The 20,675-nt window shown below is 43.4% G+C and overlaps 1 protein-coding gene across 1 annotated transcript in view; it reads right to left on the reverse strand.

The window, feature by feature from the left end:
• The window catches only part of MXRA5 (matrix remodeling associated 5), a 38,088-nt gene extending 20,991 nt beyond the window's left edge, over positions 1 to 17,097 (reverse strand). The window contains exons 1-4 of the mRNA NM_015419.4: positions 16,960 to 17,097; positions 14,091 to 14,306; positions 1,089 to 1,218; positions 463 to 853 (exon numbers count right to left, since the gene is read on the reverse strand). Coding sequence (NP_056234.2) covers positions 463 to 853; positions 1,089 to 1,218; positions 14,091 to 14,278 — 709 coding nt within the window. The 5' untranslated portion in view covers positions 14,279 to 14,306; positions 16,960 to 17,097. The remainder of the gene's footprint in view (positions 1 to 462; positions 854 to 1,088; positions 1,219 to 14,090; positions 14,307 to 16,959) is intronic.

Below are 20,675 nucleotides of genomic sequence, written 5' to 3' on the forward strand. Positions count from 1 at the left end.
GATCAATAGTGAGAATCGCTTCCGTGTCCGTAAAATAATGACCTTGTAGCCACTCCTCTCACCAGCCTGCTCTTTTCCAAGCATCCTTTGTGAATTTCTCATGGAACATGGATTCACAGCCCCTTCCCAGTCCCAGTTTCCCACATTAAGCTGCAGTCCAAGGCTGGCATGATCCTCCAGATACCCATTCCATGGCAACCCACATCACCTGTATGTAACTGATTACATGAGCACTACATTTCACTAAGGGATAACTGCCTTTGCGTTGGGGAATGGAGATGTCTTAACATTTAAGTGGTAACGTTTAAAGTCTGAGTTCCTGTCTAGCTGATTGGGTGCTCAGATTTCATCGAAGCTCAGATTTCATTGAATAAGTCAATATAAGAACCTTGGAGAATGGAACGTCTCCAAAAAGATAAAAGAATGTGCAGCTAGGAGTGGTCTGCTCTCCTCTCTTCTTACCTCTGGATTTTGCATCCCATTCCAAAAACCATCTCATCTCACAATCGCAGGTCCACGGATTTCCCTGCAAGTAAAGATTCTCCAGAAGCGGCATGTTCCGAAGCATGCTGGCAGGAAGAGTTCTAACCATGTTCTCTGCTAAGTAGAGGTGCCTTATGGTGGAGAGTCTGAAATAATCCAAAAATGTGAACGTGGAGAAGGTGCTGGGGTGCAGCTGGTGGAGGAGATTTCCTTCCAAATGGAGTAGCCTCAGAGACGTTAAGCCGTTGAAAGCTTGAGGGTGGATAAACTCGATCTTGTTGTGGTCAATGTGCAGCCTCATTAAGTTAGAGAGACCCTGGAGGGTCTGTCCTGTGATCACTCTCAGCTTGTTGTAGCTGAACTTGAAAACCTGCAAGGACAGGGGAAAACAAAACAAAACAAAAGGATCCTGTTTATAGTTTAAAAAGCCACAACCACAAACAGAAACCAGTACAAAGGGCTGGAGAGTAATGACATGAAGCTTGTCTTTCATGTCAAACAATAGCCGTTTTATTGATCATTAAGGAGAATGACATAATTTCTATTCTTTATTACTGGTCTTAGAGGATGCAATTTAGTGACGCTTATAAATGCCGTGGGTTTACCTGAAGAGAGCTGAGGTCTCTTAAAGCTCCATCGGGGATGCTTGGGATCTCATTGCCGTGAATCATAAGTAGCTCCAACTTGGTCAGTCCTGCAAATGAGGTTTCTGACAGGGCCTGTATGCTATTAAACCTAAAGAATGGTAATAATAATAATAACAATAATAATAATTAAGAAAATAAATAGCGAATACTTAACTCCCATATGGGAAACATTCCCTAGCCTGCCCAAGAGCAAATTAGTAAAATGGTGAGTCTTTTTGTCTATTTATTTATTTATTAGAGACAATCTTACTCCGTCACCCAGGCTGGAGTGCAGCGGTGCAATCGTAGCTCAGTGCAGCCTCCACCTCCCAGGCTCCAGCAATCCTCCCACATCAGCCTCCCAAGTAGCTGGAACTACAGGCACAGGCCACTATCCCTGGCTAATTTTTTATTTTTCATTTTTGTAGAGACAGGGTCTTCATATGTGCCCAGGCTGATCTGGAACTCCTGGCCTCATATGACCCTCCTGCCTGGGCTCCCAAAGTGCTGGGATTACAAGCAAGAGTCACTGCACCTGGTCATGAAGTAGTGATTCTGAGGTTACAGGGGTGCCATTCCCAAAGACGTTTATCCCTTCGTGTCCCTATCTCTGGGGTCAAGAAGAAAGTGACATGTATTTATTTGTCTTCAGTCTGCTAAGGAACATTCATGGAGAACTTTGACTTGGAATATGCTGTTGTGGTCAGGAGGCTATTTGGTGTGTCCATCAGTAGGATTTAGAATTCAACATGAGGCTGTTCCACGTGTCTCTTTCTTGGAAACTCTGTGCTGAAGTGACAGTAATAAAGAGGGACACGTGGCTAGCAGGGCCGGGAAAATCCACGGCATTGGAATTTGCTTTGCATATGGTAAGAAAGGAGACAGCTCCATGCTAAAGGCCAAATAGAAATGTTGACCACAGACACCAACACTCTTATTTCCCATGGACAGGCTGCCATGTCTGACGGATGATCAAAGTTACTCGTAGACATGCTAGGTTTCTTGTTTGTTTTGTTTCTTCCTGTAACCTGTCCTCAAGATAAGTTCTTTTTGTTTTAAATTTTTGGTTTTTTGTTGTTGTGTATATAATTGTCAAGATGCTTTCTTGACCAATTTAGAAATTTCTCATTGCCATATTGGTAATAGCATACAACAATGCTTAAACTTGATCCCTGGATAAGCAATTTGAAAAAGGAATAGAGAAGCCTGCACGCTGTTACCATAAATCACTGTTTCTGCTGAGACATAACACATCTAGCCTGATATCACTGATTGCTTCTTCTTATCACTTACATAAAAGGAAATCAATTAGCAGGGAACATAAGTGAACAGCTCATAGCTAAATGCAGCAGATACTAGCATGGTCCAATTTTCTCATACTCATATGTGCTCAAACCTGGACTACAATTCCAAAGTCAACAGAAACACCAGGTTAGGTGTGACTCCCCTAAGACCCAGCCTTAGGAAGCACCTTTCAGCTACAAATTTTTGAGTGCAGGAAATTTATAAGCTCTACCCTCAAAAACCATTCACCTTGATTGCATCAAACTTTTCAAAGACCTCCTTTCATAATTGCATTCTTCTTCTTTTTTTTTTTTTGAGACGGAGTCTCGCTCTGTCGCCCAGTCTGGAGTGCAGTGGCCCATCTCGGCTCACTGTAAGCTCCGCCTCCCAGGTTCACGCCATTCTCCTGCCTCAGCCTCCCGAGTAGCTGGGACCACAGGCGCCCGCCACCGCGCCCGGCTAATTTTTTGTATTTTTAGTAGAGATGGGGTTTCATCGTGTTAGCCAGGATGGTCTCGATCTCCTGACCTCCTGATCCGCCCCACTCGGCCTCCCAAAGTGCTGGGATTACAGGCGTGAGCCACCGCGCCCGGCCACATTCTTCTTTTTAAGATAAATTTATGCAAAGAAAACATCAGATGGAATTAAATGCATCCCACCTTATTGAAATAATGTTGTATAGATTCAATATGGTGTATGGGGAAAATATAGTAGAAGATGATCCTATTTCCTGTTCATCATTTTGACTCATGTAGTCAATGAACAATCATATATAGTGGTTCTCTCTTCTTGATTACATGATATTTTTCACTCTTCTTTTTAGTGCATTACTCCAGTGTCTTGTCAGCTAAGCTCTGCTTTATTTAACACTGGTGAGAGGTAAAATATTAAAAGAATTGGGCTCATAGCTATGTGTGTACCTTATGAACATGCTTTGGATTCCATAGAAGGTGGGAAACTTAGCTGGAATTGAGCCTTGTCCTCTTTGTATTACTTTTTGCCCTTTATCACCTAAACCCCATGAAGCAGGCCAACTTTCCACAGCAGAAACTGAGTTTCAAGAAAGTTTCCAGGCTGGGCATGGCAGCTCATGCCTATAATCCCAGCACTTTGGGAGGGTGAGGCGAGAGGATCACTTGAGCCCAGGAGTTCAAGACCAGCCTGGGCAACATAGTGAGACCTAATCTCTACAAAAAATACAAAAATTAGTTGGGTGTGATGGTGCATGCCTGTGGTCCCAGCTACTCAGGAGGCTAAGCAGGGAAGACCACTTGAACCCAGGAGGTTGAGGCTGCAGAGAGCTGTGATTGTGCCACTGTACTCCAGCCTGGGCAACAGAGCAATACCCCATATCAAAAAAAAAAAAAAAAAAAAAAAAAAAAAAGTAAGAAAGAAAGAAAAAAAGAAACTTTCCAAAATTTTCAAGGAATAGGAAAAAAGAGGATAAACCATGCAATGTTCCATTCCAAAGTTTTTTTCCTATTACCTAGTGGTACTTTGGTCTTATTAAAACAAGATGGGAACTTAAATATTCCACAAGCAAACACAGTGACAACAACAATAATGTCCCCTTTACAAAGAAGAGGAGACTCACAGAAGACATTGAATGCATTCAAGAATACAGTCAGTGAGAGTAAAATCCAGGTATCTTGAGACCAAAGCTTCAACCTGCATTCAGACACTGTTAACTGAGGTGGGAGAAGCTGTCAATATCTACTTGACATTATTTTATTTAGTGAGTTCAAATTCATGGAATCATGGTGCAAAACTCCCCGAAATATAATGCTGCAAAGATAAGTGAAATTCAAGGGCATGAAGCTTTATTTCATGTTAAGGACCATGAACCTCCTCAGTGGGTAAAATTCCAAGTAAGAGAAGAAAGAGGTGCATTTTTTCCAATCATGAGCTCAGCAGTTTCCTGCAGAGTATAATAAAGGGGAAGGAAGGTGTTGACTACTGCAAGCTGGGTGGGGAAAGGAGGTCCCAGTGTGTAGACGTGAGATCCTTAGAGGTGAGATAGAAGCATAGAAAGGTCTCTCTCTCTCTCTCTCAAGACAGGGTCTGGCTCTGTTGTCCAGGCCAGAGTGTGGTGGCACAATCTTGGCTCACTGCAACCTCTGTGTCCTGGGCTCAAGCCATCCTCCTACTTCAGCCTTCTAAGTAGCTGTGACTACAAGCACACACCACCACACCTGGCTAATTTTTGTATTTTTAGTAGAGATGGGGTTTCACCATGTTGCCCGAGCTGGTCTTGACCTTCTGAGCTCAAGTGATCTACCCGCCTCGGCCTCCCAAAGGGCTGGGATTACAGATGTCAGCCACCACACCCTCTAGGCCTCATGTTTTGAGGTCAGGCACACTTCACGTTGCCCGCTGGCTATCCCAGAGAAGTTACCAAGCTTTTTGGAAGCTCAAACTCTTCATTAGTAATGCTACTGAGGATTCTTTTTTCAGAGAGCCCTGTGTGGGTTAAAGGACATAATGTCTGTAGCCACTCAGACATTGCTCTGTGTCAAGGACTGCTACAGAGTTTCTGGAGGGAATAGGTACACCAAGGCTGATACCAGGGAGATCAAAGGGAAAGTCACAGCCAAGCAAGACACAAAAAGAGACATGCTAAGAATTCGTGAGTTAAAAATGGCAACTAAAATGTAGTTAGGCAGGGGAATAATGAGCAATATGTTATATGAATAAAGACATTCAATGAAAACATATTCAGATGTTCAAAAATTTATACATAATATGAATAATGTAAAAATCATACAGGAATCATAATATTCGTAAACATGTCCATTCAATGATTCTTCTCAGAGACACTCAAATGACCAATTTCAGACCTGATTTCAGCTGACTCCAGAGTAGAAATCTACCTGATACATTTCTAATTCATTCTTTGCTACGTTATCTTTCCAGGAACTTTGCACCCTGATTCCATATGTTTCAACTCACTAAATAAAATAAAGTGTCAAGTAGATATTGATAGCCTCTCCCGCCTCAGTTAATCGTCCCTGAATGCAAGGTAAAGCTTTGGTCTCAAGATCCTTGTGTTTTACCATAGTGACTGTGTATTCTTGGATGCATTCAGCGTCGTTCAGAGTCTCCTCTCCTCTATAATGGGGACATTATTGTTGTTGTTGCTGTGTTTGCAGGGTTTTTAAGTTCCCATCTTGTGGGTAAATGAAGTGTCAATCATGGATAATGACCATACTAAGTTGCCATTTTTTATTTTTTATTTTTTTATTTTTATTTTACTTATTTATTCATTTGAGATAGAGTCTCCCTCTGTCGCCCAGGCTGAAGTGCAGTGGCGCCATCTCGGCTCACTGCAACCTCTGCCTCCCGGATTCAAGCAATTCTCTGGCCTCAGCCTCCCGAGTAGCTGGGACTACAGGCGTGTGCTACCCCGCCTGGCTAATTTTTGTATTTTTAGTAGAGACAGGGTTTCACCATGTTGGCCAGGCTGGTCTCAAACTCCTGACCTCAGGTGATCTGCCCGCCTCGGCCTCCCAAAGTGCTGGGATTACGGGCGTGAGTCACTGCGCCTGGCCGCCATTTTTATTTTTAAAAGAATACCTTATTTCTTCTTATTTAAACACAAGCACAGATGATTTAGCACACAAGAGAGGGCCAAGAAGGTCTTACAGGGTATGTTTGCGGATGGCATCCTCAGAATTGTTCAGAGGTTTTTGTTTGACTGAAATAACAGCCATGAGGAAAAATGCAATGCACGTGAGTGAGAAGCAAAGAGAGTCTAAATGTACATTTCAGAAATGCCGACGACAGAGTAGAAGTCTACATGGCACATATTCTCATTCACTCTTTAAATTGATTTTCTGCAAAATCACTATGCAGTGGCAGTAATCATTGCTCAAGATGCACACTACAAAAAGGAATGAAGCTCTGACACAGGCTACCATGTGGGTGACCCTTGAACCATGTTGTTCACTGCAAGAAGCCCTACAGGTCACGTACTGCAGTGGTCCTCAAACCCCAGGCCACAGAGCAGTACCGGACCAGTTAGGAACCAAGCTGCACAGCAGGAGGTGAGTGGTGGGTGAGCCAGCAAAGTTTCATCTGTATTTACAGCCATTCCCCATTGCTGGCATTACTGCCTGAGCTCCACTTCCTGTCAGATGAGTGACGGCATTAGATTCTCATTGGAGCACAAATCCTATTCTGAACTGTGTGTGCAAGGGATCTAGGTTGCGCACTCCTTATGAGAATCTAATGCCTGATGATCTGTCACTGTCTCCTGTCACCCCCAGATGGAACTGTCTAGTTGAAGGAAAATAAGCTCAGGGCTCCCACTGATTCTACATTATGGTGAGTTGTAGAATTATTTCATTATATTATTACAATGTAATAATAATAGAAATAAAGTGCACAAAAATGTGATATGCTTGAGTCATCCCAAAACTACTCCCTCCACAATCCTGTCTGTGGAAAAATTGTCTTCCATGAAAACTGGTCCCTGGTGCCAAAAAGGCTGGGGACCGCTGATCTATTGTATGATTCTATGTATATGAAATGTTCAGAATAGTCAAATTCATAGGGACAGAAAACAAAGCAGTGGTTCCCAAAGGCTGGAGGAGGAGAGGGAGTAGAGAATGACTGCTTCATGGATATGAGGTCTCCTTTTGGGGTGGTGAAAATGTTTGGAACAAGATAGAGATGATGGATACACAATAGTTTGAATGTACTAAATGGCACTGAATTGTAGAGGCTACAAGGGTGAATGCCATGTCATTTGAATTTTACTTTAAAAAATTGCAAAAACTTTGTACAGATCAGCTTCGTATGTGCCTTCAGGATGTAGTGGGCTCTGAAAACAAGTTCTAATGCTTTTAGAGATGGAGAAATCAAAAGGAAAATAAGGCAGGTGCTGTTTGAACTTCGCTCAATATGAAACGATGTCTGCTACAGATTCTACATGCATGGATTCATTCTGCAACGCAGTCACAGCTATAATTTGAGCTTTGTGTGTCTGCAAGTTACTATTCTGGGTGGGTCAACCAAATAGGCAAGGGCTCAGCTCTCTTAGCAAGAAGCATGACTAGAAAGGTAAAAATAATGAAAAAGATCATTTCAGATAGTTGTAAATTTCATAAGGAAATAATTAAAGCACAGGAAGGAGAGTAGAAGGGGTTTGGTTGGCCGATGTCTACGGCAGGGCTCTCTGGGGAGCTGAGATTTGAAGTAGGGCTTAAGAAACAAAGGGACGTTTGGGCATGGCCTCATCATTTTAGAAGAATATTCCGTGGTGGACAACTAGTTAGCTCTCTGGTATTTTGCTGTTGGCCATAAAGTTCAGAGTTATTGGCCATCTTTCTGTTCCTTAGACTCACCAAGCTTGCCCACTTTATGGCACGGCCATTGATTTGTTCTCTATAGAGATGATGCTCAACATCCTGTAATGCACACGATGGCCCCTACAACCCACATTGATTCAGTCCTAAACATCAAGATTGCAGAAATTTGGTAACTTTGCCTTAGCACGTGCAAATTTGTCTATCTGTCCCTCTGTCTGTATCTATCTATCTATCTATCTACCTACCCTATACCTACCTATCATCCATCAATCTATCTATAATCCTCTCTATCAATCCATCTATCATCCTATCATCTATCAAGCATCTATCTGTTATAATCTATATATCAATTATATATCTATTCATCCATGAACTGAAGTATGTGTTAAAACAGCAATGTTGGCCACTTCCTGGAGAACGTGTCAGAGCTGGGCAAGGGAGGGAGGCAGAAATGAGGTGAATCCTGCAGAGATATTGAGGGATGTTGGATCCATGACCAGGTGTGGCAGTAAGCATGAAGGCACACAGAACATTTCCGAATGTATTTAGAGGAAGAGCCAGCAGGCATTGCTGAGTGGTGGGAGTGGGAATGAGGACAAACTTGGGGGAAGGACTTCTACTTGGAGGGGAGTAAGTGGGTGGATTCTATCATTTGCTGGACAGCAAAGGCTGGGAGAGACAGGTGTTGGGGAAAGAATTCAAAGCTGTATTTGCCATGGGATGTTTGAGAATTTTGTAAGAATCTAAGGGGAGAATAGGGCTCAAGACCAAGATGGAGACCCATGATGCACGTTCAGGGGAGACTGGCCAACCGACCAATGGAATAGAGCCCTGGGAGTAAATAATATCACCTGAACGGAGCCCAGAAGAAGGAGGCAGATCTTCAGACAGAGGAGATAGGGCTCTGAGGCTCTGTCTCTGAAATGGGTCAGAAACAGCTGGATGTTCCTCAGCACATTTTACTTCAAGGGTGTGATATGTTCTCCTTCCATAGTTGTGGTCACCAAAAAGGTCTCCAGATGTTGCCAAATGTTTTCCAGGGGCAAACTCATCCATTGTTGATAACTATTGTCATAGATAGATGATAGATAGATAGATAGGCAGACAGATGATAAATAGATAGATAGATAGACAGATAGATAGATAGATAGATAGACAGCCAGACAGATGATAGATAGGTACATAGATAGATAGATAATATATAGCTAGACAGATGATAAAGATAGATGACAGGTACATAGGTGATAGATAGATGATAGATGATAGGTAGATAGATAGAATACATGATAGAGATAGATTGATTGATAGAGATGATAGGTAGGTAGATAGATTATTGATAAATAGATGATAGAGAATAGATAGGTAGATTAATAGATGATAGACAGATAGATAGATAGAATAGATACATCAATAGATAATGATAGAGATCAATGATAGGTAGGTGATAGGCAGACAGATGATACATAGATAGATTGATAGATAGATGATAGGTAGGTAGAGAGATAGATTGGCTGATTGATGATGATAGGTAGGTAGATAGGTGATAGGCAGATGCATGACAGATAGATGATAGATAGATACATAGATAGGTAGGTAGATAGATATAGACAGGTAGAGAGATAGATTTGTTGATTGATGATAGAGATAGATGATAGGTAGGTAGACAAGTAATAGGCAGACTATAGATAATAGATAGATAGTTAGATAGATAGATAGATAGATAGATAGATAGATAGATAGATAGATATTGAGAAAAACAGAATGGCTCATACTAAAGCCATGGATAGCTGAATGTCAAATTTAACCTGAGAATTTTGATCACAACTATCAAGGTGGAGAAGAAGGGAAAATAGGAACAAAGGATAATACTGGTTGATTTCCCTTCACATCTGAATAAATTCCCCTTTCAGGAAGGCACCCAAAGTCTGGGACGGGCTCCACATCAGCTCAGAAACCTGCCTGACCCTGTCATCTTGCCCCTGCTTGTTTTGTTGTTGTTGTTGTTGTTTTATTTTTTTGTTTTTTGAGATGGCGTCTCGCTCTGTCACCCAAGCTGGAGTGCAGTGGCGCGATCTTGGCTCACTGCAAGCTCTGCCTCCCAGGTTCACGCCATTCTCCTGCCTCAGCCTCCCAAGTAGATGGGACTACAGGAGCCCACCACCACGCCCAGTTAATGTTTTTGAATTTTTTAGTAGAGACGGGCTTTCACCGTGTTAGCCAGGATGGTCTCGATCTCCTGACCTCGTGATCCACCCGCCTCAGCCTCCCAAAGTGCTGGGATTACAGGCATGAGCCACCGTGCCCGGACCCCCCTGCTTGTTTTTAAGGGGCATTAGAGAGCTTGCAGATGCAGATGCCAAGGGTGCCAGATGTGAGAATGGGGCGGATATTCTGGAACATACAGAAGCCCAGGGAATCACTTGAGTACCCCCTCTCAGAACCCAAGGGTATACATGTCCCCTTCTTGCATCCTTCTAAAAATCAGCAGAGTCTGGGAAATTAGCACGACACTCAGGGAACAGAATCTAACTGGAGACTGGGATGACCCTGCATAAAGTGCAGTTCTATGGCTTATTAGCCCCTTGGCTTACATTCCAGACTATCTTCATCGCCTATTGATTGGCAATCACTGAATGTATAACCAACTCTGTGAAATGTTTATGGCAGACAATATTTGCAAAATTATGTCTTCGGTTCCGGTTAATATCACAAGGCAGAACTTAAAATAAAATAGGCAAGTATGGGCATTGTTGAAGTTGCAGAAAGGCATCATCAAAACCAGTCTTTTAATAGAGGGAAAAAAATACTTAAGAGTCTGTAAATCCATCTCTAGGTGGATGCTATGTTGTTGGTTCCTGAAAAAAAATATTTGGAAAGCAATTTTCAGAAACGCTTTTAGTTTGTCCAAGCAGGAAACAGCAATGCTGACAAAGAACCCTAAAAACAGCTGTGTGGGAATAGAAGGTTTCATTAGCACTTGGCCAACAATTCCTCATTCCTTGAGAGTCTTATATTTTCTCCAGACTGTTAAAACACAAATCAATCTCTGAGTTTTATCTGTTAGACATTGCTCTTGTTTCAGTTTTTTCCCCAACAAAATGCAAGATGCCAGACTCATTACCTAATTTGAGATTGATTTTTCTGAAACAATGCTATTATGATATTATTAGTGATTTTTTTCAAGTAGTATATTAGTTCCTGTTACAAATTAAACCAGATGGAAGTAATAGATGTTGATGCAGTGAAGTGATTCTCTAGGGTTTTAAACTTTTTCTTTTCTTTTTAATATTACAGAAAACTATCTCTAGATATTACTGGCAGCAATAGGAAAAAGAAACTTTAACATGTTGGTATGTCTGTTTTATTCCTACGTTAAAGTCAATCTTTATCGTGAGTTGTTTAAAATGAAACCATCAGAAATGGTGTTGTAATTTAGAGGTTAGTTATGTTTTGCACTTACAAAGTACTTCAGTTTAAAAATGAACGGGAAGAAAAGCATCCCAGAAACTGTAAATGAGATGCAAACAACTTCAGAAGTAATAGTCTTGTTGGTGCTGTAAGTCTCAAGCCATTAAACAAATCACCTCTTTGGGGAGGGTGCATGCAGGGACTGTCTCCACCCTCATTTCCAGCCTGATATCCCCCTTCCCAACACACAACACAAACACACAAACCTGCTGTGCAAGAAGCACCGCAAATAGATATATATTATGTATAATAGATATATATTATATATCATGTATAATATATATTATACATGATATATATAATGTATAATATATATTGTGTATAATATATATTATATATTATATAATATATTATATTATACATAATATGTTATACATAATATAATATAATATATTATACATAATATATTATATATTATACATATATTATATATTATATATTATATACATAATATATATAATATATAATTATTATATATAATATATAATAATATATATAATGTATATAATTATATAATTATATATATAATATATAATAGAATTATATATAATATATAATTAATATATATAATATACATATTATATTATATATAACATGTATATTTACATTATATATATTATTACTATATATTATGTATATATAATATATATTATTATTATATATAATATATATAATATATATTATTATTATATATAATATATGTAATATATATTATTATTATATATAATATATGTAATATATATTATTATTATATATAATATATGTAATATATATTATTATTATATATAATATATATAATATATATTATTATTATATATAATATATATAATATATATTATTATTATATATAATATATATAATATATATTATTATTATATATAATATATATAATATATAATATAGTATACATATATTATATATTATATAATATGTATATTTACATTATATATTATATATATTATAAAGATAATATATATAAAATATATACATTCTGCATCAACCCCAAGCTTTTTAGAGGGCTCCACCAAGGCCTGGCTGATGGTACCCCCAGCATGGGACCTGCCAAGGTGCTGGGTTTGAGAGATGAGGTGGCTAATCCCAGCAAGTTAGACCATGTGTTAAAATGGTTCATGTATAAAAAACAATTCCTAGACAGAGCCATTTTGCACACCAAGGGTGGAGGAAAAAGAAGTTACAGTTAAAGCCCCACTTTCTGTTCTGCAAATATCACACGCACCTTCCCCCAGGATTCAAATGGGCTTTAGCAGACATGGAACCAACCCATATGCCCAAGAAAATGTGGTACATATACACCATGGAATACTATGCAGCCATAAAAAGGAAGGAAATCGTGTCCTTTCCAGAGATATAGATGAAGCTGGAAGCCATCATCCTCAGCGAACTAACAAGGGAAAGAGAAAACCAAACGCTGCATGTTCTCACTCATAAATGGGAGTTGAACATTGAGAACACATGGGCACAGGGAGGGGAACAACGCACACCAGGGCCTGCTGGGGGGTGGGGGTTGAGGGGAGGGAACATAGAGGATAGGTCAATAGGTGCAGCAAACCACCAGGGCACACATATACCTATGTAACAAACTTGTACACTCTGCACATGTATCTTGGAACTTAAAGTTAAGTAAATAAATAAATAAACAAAACTAATGGGCTTTAGCACCTCTTCCCTTTTTCTTACTTCCATTACACAAGAAATGTGTCCGATAAATTACAAGATTGTAAAAAGGGAAGCTGGCTTATGTGTTACTATTCCCTCCTCTGCCAACGCCAAGCTGTTTTCCCCAATGAGCTATCATTGTTGTGGTTGGATGTTCAGATGGTCAACTCATAAAGTCTAACAGCATTTCATTGAGAAACCTATTTAATGGTCTGTTGCCATGGGTTAGGGAAATTATCATCTTATTCCCTCAACGTTTCATTCTCTTATTCTACCACTGTCAACAGGGAAGTTTCCATCTTACTCCCTCAACACTTCATTCCCTGACTCTACCACTGTCGATAGAGAAATTTCCATCTTATTATCTCAATGTTTCATTCTCTTCTTCTACCACTGTCAATGGAGGAGAGTTTTTTCTTTTAACTTTGTTCTATAAGATGTCCAGGTACATTTACAGTTATTTTGCATTGGCTCAAATCTGGCCATTTTATTTTTACTAAAACATCTCCATGGTGGATATTTCACAAACACTAATTTAATCAGTTGTTCTGGGGATGGATGCTAAAAAGTAGCTATTATATTTTGTTGACGAACTCCAAATGATTGTTGACTATTAAAATTGCAGTTGAGCACCTGTAGTTCATAGCAACTAACACTTCGGTCCACACAACCCTCGTGTGTATAAAATGAAACCAGTATATTAAAAGTCTGTCTGGCAAGCCACATCAAAATAGGTTTTTAAAAAGACGTTGATATTTTTAACAGGCAAAATCTGCAGGAACTCTTTTATTGCCTCAAAGTCGCAATTCTATCATCTACATGACTTATAAAATGGCACAGATGTTCTGCTTATTTTTATTATTCTTAAATCGTTGCTGAAGTCTACTTAAATCATCTTCATATGTTTAAGTGTGTGTCTCATGCATTCACCTCAACAATGTATTAAAGAAATGCTATCAAGGGAATTTCTCAACAAACTCTAAAGTTGTTCATGCTGCTCGTTAATAGACCTTACAGCAGTGGCAGCTGATGGATATATTGAGATAATCATCGAAAAAGCTGCGTTTAGCATAACTAAAACTTTTTCTCTCTATTCTGCCCATCTGCAGCTCCATAATTCTCGACAGAGCTACACAGAGGAAATGCACATATGAAGTTAAGTAAATGCACATACACACACGCAAAACCAGATCAAGACGCACGCACTGACAGTGGGAAGGTTCGGGAAGAAAGTGGTACAAACCCCAAATTGATTCTTTCCACGTGTTTAGCAATGCCAGCGGGCACGGAAGCCAGGGATCGGAACGTGCAGTGGACCTCGCTGGGGACGTAGCAGGCACAAGGATGCGGGCAGGCCAGCGCCACTCGCGGATGGCCCCAAAGCAGGATCAGCACCACGGAGAGGGCCCCCCAGTGCGCGCGCTTGGGCATCTTGTCGGGGTGCCTGATTCTCGGATACCTGAGGTAGAACAACGAAGAGATGAGCTTATTCACAGGTAGCACCGACGAACTGTGGGCAATTTTTAAATTTGAATTGTGCATCAGGGTTTCAAGCTTCCCAGGACTTCACACGATGTGTTGTAGTGACGCTTAAACCATGGGAATTGAGAAAGATGAAACATGGTTTTTTTTCTAAACTTTTCACCATTCACTTTAATCATGACTATAGAATATAGTCTTGATTCTTGGCTTCGATACTATGATTTGGAAATCTATCTTGCACTCTGTAATTGCGGCTATGAAACAGAGAGAGACGAGAGAGAGAGAGAGAGAGAGAGAGAGAAGAAAGAGGTTTATATTTATGTATCCATAATTAAAAAATAATAAAATATTGTGTTTCTGCCTCCAACAAGACTGAGCCATTATATATTGCATATATTTGAATTTAAAACTTCCCAAGAAGTGTTTATTCGTATTCTTTCCTTTAATGATATTTTTCAAACCTTTAATTCTAGCTTCTTGAAGAGCTTAAAGAGGTATTTGCTAGAAGGATATTCATCCTGTTATTTCTGGGTTTATTTACTATCCTTATGTTTTTGTCTTGGAAAAGCCAGAGAGTTTTTTTGATGATATAGAGTTGCTGTTAATCGGGGAGGAAGTTTGGGGGAACCTCTGATCATTCAATAAACAGGAAGGGACTGCTTATGAAATATATTCAGGCAAACAGAAAAAAATGGAGTCACTAAAAAATGGAAAAGCTCGGGTAAAGCTAGATTGCATCAGCTACTTCATTTAGAATGGCGGTGATCATTTTCTTCTTGTCCTGGCAATGCCTATGTCATCTAACATTTTTGTCATCTCTTGAATGGCGTTCACTTAAAAATAGTGACACACATGGAAAGTAAATAGGGATACACAACAAACACGCGCCTGCCCATTCGCCCGGGTTCTGAACGAGCGCGAACTGCTGATTAAAATTCTAAAACCCAGGCCGGACTCGGTGGCTCACGTCTGTCATCCAACACTTTGGGAGGCCGAGGCGGGCGGATCACCTGAGGTCAGGAGTTCGAGACCAGCCTGACCAACATGGAAAAACCCCGTCTCTACTAAAAATACAAACAAACAAACAAACAAAACAAAATTAGCTGGGCGTGGTGGCGCATGCCTATAATCTCAGCTGCTCGGGAGGCTGAGGCAGGAGATTCGCTTGAATCCGGGAGGCAGAGGTTCCGGTGAACCGAGATCGAGCCATTGCACCCCAGCCTGGGCAACAAGAGCGAAACTCCGTCTCAAAAAATAAAAATAAAATTCTAAAATCCTTCCTATAAGAGAGGAACATCCCAAACCTGTAGCTTTTCCTGCCTTTAAGTGACCTAGAAAAGGTTATTCTCTTAAGCCCGGGGGCGCGTCTCCCTTCAGCTGCCCATAAAGAACTGATGGCGCACAGGTAGTTTTGCAAAAAAGCAAGTCCGGGCTCCGCCTCTGGGCGCTGGAACAAACCGGCTCCTGCAGCTCTGCAAAAGTCCTCGGAGTTTTCTCTCTCGCCAGAGCCCGGGCTTTCCCCGCCCCTGCCTGCGCGCCTGACCTCGGCGCTGGGCTGGTTCCAAGGGCAGCCGCGCCAGTCCCCAGCGTCCTGTGCCTGCGGGCGGACTTGGCCCGGGCGTTCCATAGGACTCTTCAGCCCCAACTCCCTGTCCGGCCTCCCACCCCGGCACCAACCTCCCGGGAGACCCAGGAAACTCGCCCCCAGACAACCCTAATCCCGGGGACTCGGGGTCGGGTCTCTCCGCCGCGGAGAAAGCGGCCTGGCGCCAGCTAGGCCGCCAGAGACGGTCTGCGAACCCCGCCGGGAAGCAGGGGTGGGGGCGTGAGGCCGTCTGCTTTCGTCTTGGCCCTGGGCAGACAACCTGGAGTGGCCGGGCGGGCAGCCCTGAGCCCCTGGCCGGCTTCCAGAGTCCGCTGGGTCGCGTCGAGCTGGCTGCGGGATGAATTACGAGCTTTCCCGGAACGCGGCTGGGGTGGCCCTGCGAGTCCCCGCCGCCCGGGACTCGGACACCAAACCCCTTTTGTCTGCGTGATGACTGTCCCGGTTTTTTTGCATGGCTCGGATCACTCTAGGCGTTGGGCTGTCCCCTTTCCAGGGAAAGCCTGGGTAAGAGTAGGAGGAAAGAGGCGGGGAAGGAGAGGGGGAAGAGAGGAGGGAGAGGAGACTTGAAGTAGCCACAGCCTGAGCAACTTGGAAAGAGGCTCCTCAAGCGTCCTTTCCCCCACCGATTGCAAGAGCAGAGTGGGCTTCACTTAGGAATTCCGTTGGCAGCTTCCTAGAAACGCGGGATGGCGGGGTTGAAGGTCTCCAGAGAGAGCCAGGGATGGGGAGCGCTTTGGGGAGAGGGAGGAAAGGAGGCATGGGATGTCTGGGCTTAATTAGACCTATTCAGTGCATCCTCCTTCAAGATCCGGCTCTCCTCCCTATCTGATCCTTAGCTACTTAAAATTGCAGGAATTCAGGTATCCTGATTTCTTAGCAACTTCAAACAGTGCTGGGGAACGGTGCAATCTGCCTGCATGCAGGCCCTTTACCCCCAGTGTTTCCCTTGGGTGTCTCAAATCCCTTCACCCCCTGCAGGCAGACACGGCAGCCCTGGGGCGCCCTGGCCACCCTGGGTCCTCACCTGTCCTTGGGAAGCCGCCGCACACGGGAGCGGTGCGCCGGGAGCATCCACCGAGCCGGGGCGCGCGAGTCACGGCCGGGAGTTTGCCGGGGCCATGCCCTTCCCGGGGCCGGGGGTGAGGCAGCTCGGCTTCCCAGCGCGGCACAGCAAGCCGGCGCCCTTTTATTCCCGGCGCTGCGAGGCTTCCCCAAGTCCACGCCTCGGCACACCCCCACCCTGCCCCACCCCGGGGAGACGGGGCGCGGGCCCGAGCCAAGGGACCCTGGCCGCGCCGCTCTGCGCTCAGCCTTCCTCTCGCGTCTTCATTGCGCCTGGGCCCGGGTGGGCATGCCTCGCCCACTCCAGCTGCAAGAACCGCAGGCGGCTCGGGGAAGGAGGGCTCTTTGTCAGAGAGAAGTCCAGGACCCCAGGAGGGAAGGGCGAGATGCAGGGAGCGCGGTGGGAGCCGCAGTAGAGTCCGCGCTTGGAGAGCGCCTAAGCAGCGCTGGGAACGTTTCCGTTCCTTTCAGGAGAGAGAGAAGGAGCAGGGTTTGCGCTTCTCCGGGCCAGACGGTGTTTTCTCGGCAGCTCTTCCCAGACCGTGTGCAAGCAGGAGCGGGCTGGCCCCGCCGGCATCCCACTAGCTGCAGGCAGGGCTGCAACGTGAGAGCCGCCGCCACGCCCTCCCGCCTCTCCAGGACTCCCCGGCGCCCGCCTCCCTCCCCTTGCCAGAGTCTTCCTGCCAGAAAGGTGGAACGGCTCCCCTCCGGCTTGGGGAGCATTCGAGGGGCAAGGCGAGGGTTGGGACGTTCGGAGAGTCTGATGGTATTGTCTGGGGAGGGGGCGGTGGGAGGGTGGGAGCGACCTGGCGACAAGGCAAAAAGTAGAGGGTGCAGAGGGTAGGTCCCTATTCCAGGAGGCAGAGGAAGAGGAGGCGGCGGCTGCCTGGCTTCCTGGATAAGTCAGACCTGGAATGGTGGGGAGAGGTCAGGCGAGTATCTTCAGTCAGCAGAGCCAACCTGGGGTAAAAACATGGAGCTCAGACAGGTGTGTAGGGCCCGGAAAGGCACCATTGCACCAGCTTGTTGTAGGGTGCACCAGCGACTGCTTTTCGCTATACCTCTGGTTAGCCGTATTCCTCTCCCTGAACCAGCATTTTGACATGTCCTTAGGGTCAGTGTTTGCCTGTTGTGTTCTTTGATCTACAAAAGACATCTGTGAGTATAAAAAAAATTTTTTTTACAAGCCCAGTGGTACCATGTACTTGTACAACGAATCCTGTCTGCTGAGATGCCCCTGAAGCAGGCTGATGGCGTGCGGCATTTATGTATGTGTGTATGTATGTATATATGTATCTATGTATTTGAGACAGAGTCTCGCTCTGTTGCCCAGGCTGGAGTGCCAGTGGTGCGATCTCGGCTTACTGTAACCTCTGCCTCCGAGGCGCAAGCGATTCTCCACCTCCGTCCCCCATGCAGCTGGTACTAGAGGCTTGCGCCACCACGCTGGGCTAATTTTTTTTTTTTGGTGCGGACAGGGTCTCACTATGTTGCTCAGGCTGGACTCGAATTCCTAGCCTCAAGTGATCCATCCACCTCGGACTCCCAAAGTGCTGGGATTACAGGCGTGAGCCACCCAGCCCAGCAGGCATGCAGCTTTTAAAAGGCAATGCATGGAGAAAGTATAATTGAGAAGTGCCTGCTCTTTAGATTCAGAAGTCCTGCCCTACGTCCAGCACTCTGTCAGGGGGCTTTCAGGAGGAAGGAAGGACTAAGCCTAAGAAACAAGTTGCTTCCCCTGCATGAAGCGTGGTTCATCTTAGCTCCTCCTAAGAAACACAGCGTCTAGGAATTCCTCACCACCTGCCTCCTGCGCCTAGGGTGGCTTCCACAGAGTTGATAGTCAGGAAATACTGGTTCATAAATGGGAATTCATTCCTTCTCTAGCTTTAGTTTTCAGTGTGTGTTGACATAGTTCCAGGGATTAGTCAAATAATGCCCTTAGGTAGCCTCTTTCTGGGCATGCCCCAAACCCATTGATTAAATCACGAAACAAAACAAAACAAAAAACAACTGTCTCTTGAACATCTCTTTACCCTTGTTAATGATGTTGCCACCCATCTCGTCAGCTAAACTAGAAACTCAAGCCATCCTTGCCTTCTGCCTCTCCTTCATGTCTTCCTCATAGTCAACTGGTTGCCAAGTTTAGATCCTGATGCCTAAGAATCTCTTGGCCCAACGTGTTCTTCTCTCCACCTCTCTCACTGCGGTTGCATGGATATGTCTTAGATTTTGACAACTTCTTCCTCCACCAACTCCTTCTCATTCATCCCTTCCAGCCCATCACTGAGACTTAGAGGGATGCCATCATCCTCAAACCCAAGGCTGAAGTTTTCCATGGGTGGCCTGTGCCATGCCCTGTGCTTCCCAGCCTGTCCCTGGGATCTTCCTTTTGGTGATAGATCTGGCTTGTCAAGAACAAGTAGCACATCCCTGATTTTTGTTGTTGTTGGTTCACGCCACTGTTTTGACAAAGTTCTCCTCAATCTCCATTGTATAGTATTTCCTTACCTCCATGCCCATTGCTAAAGTGGGCTTTTTTCCTGCATTGTGGACAATCACTCACCTTCTTTTTATGCCGTCATAGCTTCTTGACACCTGGAGTATAGCACAGAGCTTAGCATACACTAAGCGTTCAATTGAATGAATGAATGAATGAATGTGCGCATGACTGACGTTGAATTCTATTAAGAAATGTCTAGATTTGGCCAGGCGCAGTGGCTCACGCCTGTAATCCCAGCACTTTGGGAGGCCAAGGCGGGAGGATTGCTTGAGTCCAGGAGTTTGAGACCAGCCTAGGCAACCTGGCAAAACCCTATCTCTACAAAAAAAAAAAAAAAAAATTAGCCAGGCATAGTGGCATATGCCTGTAGTTCCAGCTACATACTGGGGGCTGACATGGGAGAATTGCTTGAGCCTGAGAGGCAGAGTTTGCAGTGAGCCAAGTTCGCACCACTGCACTCCAGCCACAGTGACAGAGCAAGACCCTGCCTCAAAAAAAAAAAACATTTAAAAAAGTCTGGATTTCTCTGCAGTAAGGAAATCTGTTTATACTACCTTATCCAGGGGGATTATTATTGGCACATTTAATAGATAATATCTATCAATACCTCTAAATACTTGTGTTACCTGTACAATCTGCACCCCAAAAATGATTTATCGAAGTCTAGTTAAAGGCACAGGTTTACGGAAATGAGATGGTTAACTCAAACATAATGGCTTTAATTCCTTACAAGTGTGAAGTAAATAAAATATCAAGTCAACTAATTCAATTCTGCTTTGCAAATTTCATGCATGGGATGAAGGGGAGTGAGCAGCGGAAAGAGACCGCTGAATGGGAGCAGGGTTTTAGCTTAGGGTGACAGAAACGTTTTGGAACTACATGTAGGTGATGGTTGCACAATATTGAGGATGTACGAAATGCCATGACATTGTTACTTTAACATGGTTTACTTTACGATGTGAATTTCACCTCAATAAATTATTTTTAATAACACACATACTAATAAAAATAAATGCCTAGATTAGAAAAGTCCCAGGGCGTAACTTGTACAATAAATCCACAAATAAAGCATTATGGAATCTCGTCATTCTGTACTTTTTTTAAATAAAATGCATAGTTTGCTGCATTTAGTCTTTTTTGTTTTGATGTTTGTCCTGCTAATGTTGCCTGCTTGC

This window comes from Homo sapiens, chromosome X (assembly GCF_000001405.40).
Source record: "Homo sapiens chromosome X, GRCh38.p14 Primary Assembly".
In the NCBI taxonomy this organism is placed as follows: Eukaryota; Metazoa; Chordata; class Mammalia; order Primates; family Hominidae; genus Homo; species Homo sapiens.